Below are 6,312 nucleotides of genomic sequence, written 5' to 3' on the forward strand. Positions count from 1 at the left end.
TTTTAGAGTGCTGACAAGATGCCACAAGTGGAGAATGCCATACCTGACCTCATGTGATGGGTTGTAGTCAAAATGCAATCAAAACTTTGTTTTATGTACAACATTTTAAAAAAATATTGTATAAGCCGGGCGTGGTGGCTCAGGCCTGTAATCCCAGCTCTTTGGGAGGCCAAGGTGGGTGGATCACGAGGTCAAGAGATTGAGACCATCCTGGCTAACACAGTGAAACCCTGTCTCTATTAAAAATACAAAAAATTAGCTGGGCGTGGTGGTGGGCGCGGGGGCGGGTGCCTGTAGTCCCAGCTACTTGGGAGGCTGAGGCAGGAGAATGGCGTGAACCCGGGAGGCGGACCTTGCAGTGAGCCGAGATCGTGCTACTGCACTCCAGCCTGGGCGACAGAGCAAGACTCCATCTCAAAAAAAAAAAAAAAAAAAAAAATATATATATATATATATATATATAGTATAAAATTATCCTCAGGATACATGTATAAGGTATGTGAAACATAAATGAATTTTGTGTTTAGACTGGGGTCACATCCCTAAGATAGCTCATAATGTATATGCAAATATTTCAAAATCCAAAAAAAAATCACAAATTCAATAAGATGGTCCCAAGAATTTCAGAGAAGGGATACTCAACCTGCAATTTTTTTTTTTTTTTTTTTTTTTTTGAGAAGGAGTCTCGCTCTGTCGCCCAGGCTGGAGTGCAGTGGCGCAATCTTGGCTCCCTGCAACCTCCGCCTCATGGGTTCAAGCAATTCTCCTGCCTCAGCCTCCCGAGTAGCTGGGACTACAGGTGTGCACCACCGTGCCCAGCTAATTTTTGTATTTTTAGGAGAGATGGGGTTTTGCTATGTTGGCCAGGCTGGTCTCGAACTCCTGACCTCAAGTGATCCTCCTGCCTCAGCCTCCCAAAGTGCTGGGATTACAGGCATGAGTCAGCTTGCCTGGACTGTATCTTTCATTTATGCAATTTCTAATTATTTTTAAAATCCAGCTGCTCTTTTTTTAATGGTGGTTTGCCTTCTTGTATGGTTTTTTTTGTTTTTGTTTTTGTTTTTGAGACAGGGTCTCATTCTTTTGCCCAGGCTGGAGTGCAGTGGTGTGATCATGACTCACTGTGCCTTGACCTCCCTGGTTCAAGCAGTCTTTCCACCTCAGCCTCCCAAGTAGCTTGGCTAATTTTTTATTTTATCTTTTGTAGAGTCAGGGTCTCCCTGTGTTGCCCATGCTGTTGTTGAATTCCCGAGTTCAAGTCCTCCCTCCTAGGCCTCTCAAAGTTTGTACTTTTTTTAAAAGGTGTTTCCATTAAAGTCCCGTGTGTCCTGGGACACATAAACTTTTTTTTTTTTCGAAATGGAGTCTCACTCTGTCACCCAGGCTGGAGTGCAGTGGCGCAATCTCAGCTCACTGCAAGCTCCGCCTCCCGGATTCACGCCATTCTCCTGCCTCAGCCTCCCGAGTAGCTGGGACTACAGGTGCCTGCCACCATGCCCAGCTATTTTTTTTGTATTTTTAGTAGAGATGGGGTTTCACCATGTTAGCCAGGATGGTCTCGATCTCCTGACCTTGTGATCTGCCCGCCTTGGCCTCCTAAAGTGCTGGAATTATAGGTGTGAGCCACTGTGCCCGGCCCCACATAAACATCTTTACGGCATGGTTCTGAGTCTGCCTAGTTCACTTCCTGCAGGTCTGTTGCTTGCTGCCCAGTTTTTGTATTCATTGATCTGCGGGGCAGTGACATGGTTCTCAGAATGGGGGCTCTATTTTTGCACCTGTGACTCTGGGCAGATGGCAACTTCCTTGATTTCCTGTGAGAGTGTTTGTGTCATTTATCTAGGTCAATTTCAAGGACATAAAGTCTTTTAATTTTTTTTGAGACAGAGTCTCACTGTGTTGTCCAGGCTAGAGTGCAGTGGTACAATCACAGCTCACTGAAGCCTCCATCTCCCAGGCTCAAGTGAACCTCCCACCTCAGCCTCCTAAGTAGCTGGGACTACAGGCACATGCCACCACGCTTGACTAATATTTGATTTTTTGTAGAGACAGGGCCTCACTATGTTGCCTAGGCTGGTCTTGAACTCCTGGACACAAGTGATCCTCCACCTTGGCCTCCTGATGTGTTGGGATTACAAAGTCTTTTCTAGTCCCATAGTCAGGGAGTCGAGCCTAGCCAGCCCCCTTTCCTCAATGGGCCTTGAGTCCTCCTCAGTCCCCACTGCACCCTCTGGCTGTGGTTCCTTAGTACGATTCACCCCGACGCTTTTTTCCTTTCTTACTCTGGTGATAATTTTGTGATCTTTTTTTCCAGTGTGTCTCTATGCATGGAGTAAGAAAGAAACCATCCTACAATAGCACCAAATCCAGCATGGATGGGTAAGAAGACTGACCACCAGGTGTTCTGGAGTAGCCAGCTGCAATGTAGAAAGGGTGGAACAATGACCTCATAATGATGCAGCAGTGACCTTGTAGAAAAGTGGATAGGCTGGGGGCAGTGGCTCACACTTATAATCCCAGCACTTTGGGAGGCTGAGGCAGGTGGATCACTTGAGCCCAGGGGTTCGAGACCAGCCTGGCCAACGTGGTGAAACTCCATCTCTACTAAAAATACACAAATTAGCCGGGCGTGGTGGCATGTGCTTGTAGTCCCAGCTACTTGAGAGGCTGAGACACGAGAATCACTTGAACCTGGGAGGTGGAGGTTGCAGTGAGCCTAGATTGCGCCACTGCACTCCAGCCTGGGCAAGAGAGCTAGACTCCGTCTCAAAAAAAACAAAACAAACAAAACAAAAACAAAAACAAAAACAAAACAAGGCCAGGGGTAGTGGCTCACGCCTGTAATCCCAGCACTTTGGGAGGCCGAGGTGGGTGGATCACGAGGTCCGGAGTTCAAGACCAGCCTGACCAATATGGTGAAACCCCATCTCTACTAAAAATACAAAAATTAGCCGGGCGTGGTGGCAGGTGCCTGTAATCCCAGCTACTCAGGAGGCTGAGGCAGGAGAATCGCTTGAACCTGGGTGGCAGAGGTTGCAGTGAGCCGAGATTGCACCACTGCACTCCAGCCTGGGTGACAGAGTGAGACTGCCTCAAAAAAAAAAAAAAAAAAAAAAAAAGGGTACATGTGATTGCTCATCTCTGGACTGTACTGGAGAAAACAGGAAGTTTTGTTTTCTTTTCTTCCTGACGAAGGAAGGATGAAGGTATCAGAAGACAGGAACAAACTGGGATTTATCCCAAGAACAACTTACTTGTGAATTTTAAAGGGCTCCCATTCTCCTCTGGCAAGCGGCAATTTAGACTATGCCACAATTCTGAGGACTTGCTCTTGGGCCAAGGCCTCAGGGCTCAGGGTCCTCTCAAAGCCTTGACCCGCCCTGGGGTTGTAACTCTCCTTGGTATGGAAAAATGGTTCAAATGCTGTTGCTTTCAAGAGGTTCTTTTTCTTTCTCCTCAGCTGTGTTGGTGCAGGACTTTCACATGTCTTTGGAGTAGAATAAGATGTGCCAATCCAGACTCAACCCCATCTCATCAAGATCCAGTGATCTTCGTTTTCCGATTGTCTAGCCCAAGCTCTCTTCCTCCCCAGACTCATCCTCCACCCTGCTACTGGACTTGTCTTTGTACTCTCAAAGCAGTGTGAGGAGATTCATCAACCGGTGGTGTGGACATGTGAACAGCGTGAGGCAGAGAGTAAGCATCACCCTACAAAACCTAACCCCCTATAGAGTGGCATTCCCTTTCAGTCAGTCTCTACTAGCTACTGATCAGAGGAGGGAATTTGCCCCTCAGCAACTTGACATGCCACAGTTCTCATTCTCTTCTGGAATGCCTGCCTGTCTGTGCTCCCTCCCTCTCTCAATCTCTCCTTCCCTCCACTTCTCGTTTCTTCCCCTCTGTCTCCTCCCTCCCCTCCTTCTTCTTCCCTCCTTCTCTCCTCCACCTCCCTCCCTTTTTCTCTACTTCCCTCCCTTCCCTTAGCTGGGTGTCCCCATCTCCAAGGCTCTCACTTTCACACTCCCAGGACACTCCCAGCCACTGAGTGGAAATCTCCGCCTTTAAACTCTGAGGTGTTTATATTTGGGTACTTTCGAACACTTAAAAACATTTTTTTTCCCTTAGAACACCTTCTAAAAGAACCTTAAAATTAAAAAAAATTTTTTTTGGTGGGGAGATGAGGGTCTCACTATGTTGCCCAGGCTGGTGTTGATCTCCTGGGCTCAAGGGTTCCTCCTGCTTCAGCTTCCTAAGTAGCTAGGATTACAGGCATGAGCCACCACATCCAGCTTTTAAAAAAATCTTAATAGTTTTTACTTGAAAAAACAATCTGTGGCCAGGCACAGTGGCTCATGGCTGTAATCCCAATATTTTGGGATGCCAAGGCGGGTGGATCACCTGAGGTCAGGAGTATGAGACCAGCCTGGCCAACATGGCAAAACACTGTCTCTACTAAAAATACAAACAAAATTAGCTGGGTATGGTGGTGTGTGCCTGTAATACCAGCTACTCAAGAGGCTGAGGCAGGAGAATCGCCCAAACCTGGGAAACAGAGATTGCAGTGAGCTGGATCGCGCCACTGCTCTCCAGCCTGGGCAACAAGAGCGAAAACTCAAAAAAAAAAAGAAAAAAATCTGTGGACAATGGGAAGGGGCCAGTACCACACATCTGGCGCCCTGTCATACAACAATATGCGGCCTTGTGCCTGGAATCCGTCTATATGCCCATGTCTCCTTCCTTCACTTAGGTTATAAGCTTCTTGAGGGTGGCAGCCAGACAGTAGCAGTTTGTGTGCAAAGCCCCTGCAGTGGCATATGGAAGACTTTCAATACATCAGGACCAGAGGATGAGCTGGAAATGAAATCACACTCACTGGTGGGAGAAAACCAAACTTGATGACAGAGGACCAGTAAAGGAAGCAGCTTGAGTATGTGTCCTCAGATGCAGACACAAGGCCTTGCCTTCCTGGATGAGACAGGCACTGACTGGAGCAGGGTTTGCCAGACTCAAAGGGCCACATTTTAGGGACAGTCTAAAATGTGGTATATGGACAGTCTGGCAGTGGTATGTAGAATGGGTTAAAACTGGAAGACTGGGCTGGGTATGGTGGTGCATGCCTGTAATTCCAGTACTTTGGGAGGCTGAGGCAGGAGGATTGCTTGAGCCCAGGAGTTCAAGACCAGCCTGGACAACACAATGAGACTTTGTCTCTAAAAAAACAAACAAAACTGGGTAATTAGGAGGTGACTACAAGAGCATAGGGAGCTAGTGGAAAATGAAAGGATGTGTGTAAATCTGAAGAAAAGGTCAGAACTGAAGGTCAGAATGTGTGCTCTGCAATGTGTGAATACAGTATGAATGTGCTCCAGGAAGAATATCTGAAACAGATTATCATGAGTTTCCAGAAGTATGTGGCTGTACTCAGAGTTGGGGAAGAAGATAGCAGGAAGTGGGCAGAGGCAGTAAAAGCGGAATGGGGATTGAGGAATTGATGCTCCTGATAAGAGAAAAAAAAGGCAGCTTGTGTGGGAGCAGGAGCAAGTTTTTGACAGGACAGGCTGTCACATAGGGTTTTGCTGCTGAACTCCACCAAGCAAAGCCTTGGAGCAGAGTTCCTCAGCTGCTGAGGTCCACACTCACACTCAGCTGTGGCAGGAGGCTATGGAGTCTACAGGCTTATAGGCAATTCCCAGAGTGTTAGTTTCCCACTGGCATTCTGGGCATGTGAGGGGCTTGTAGGGCTGGGCTGGAGACTAGATGAGCCTGCCTGTGTGCAGGAAGTGCTAAACTGAATACTGAGTGCCAGACTTGCCTGGCTCCATACTAAACAGGGAGTCACGGCTTCTGTCCATCCAGGAAATACATGTACCTCTCATATATACCTATTCCACAAACTCTTTTTGAAAGCCCAGACGATAAATAGGCACAAAGCTACCTAAGCTCAAAAGGCCACCTGGCTCTACATGTGAGACATTAACATGAGGGCTTTATAGATACTTTTCTATATGTGGCCTCAAGCAAACCAGAAGAATGTAAGTGCCATCGCATGTCCACGGGCCAGCTGCAGACCCCCTTGAGCAGACTCGTGACTTTTTGCACTGACCTGGATTTGTGGTCAGACTGACCTGGGTTCAGATTCCTGTGTCACCAACTGGAGCCATGTAACCCTGGGCTTGGGCTAACATCTCTTTTTTTTTTTGAGACAGAGTCTCACTCTGTCACCCAGGCTGGAGTGCAGTGGTACAATCTTGGCTTACTGCAACCTCCATCTCCCAGGTTTAAGCAATTTCTCCCACCTCAGCCTCCCGAGCA

Source organism: Homo sapiens, chromosome 7 (genome assembly GCF_000001405.40).
Source record: "Homo sapiens chromosome 7, GRCh38.p14 Primary Assembly".
Lineage (NCBI taxonomy): Eukaryota > Metazoa > Chordata > Mammalia > Primates > Hominidae > Homo > Homo sapiens.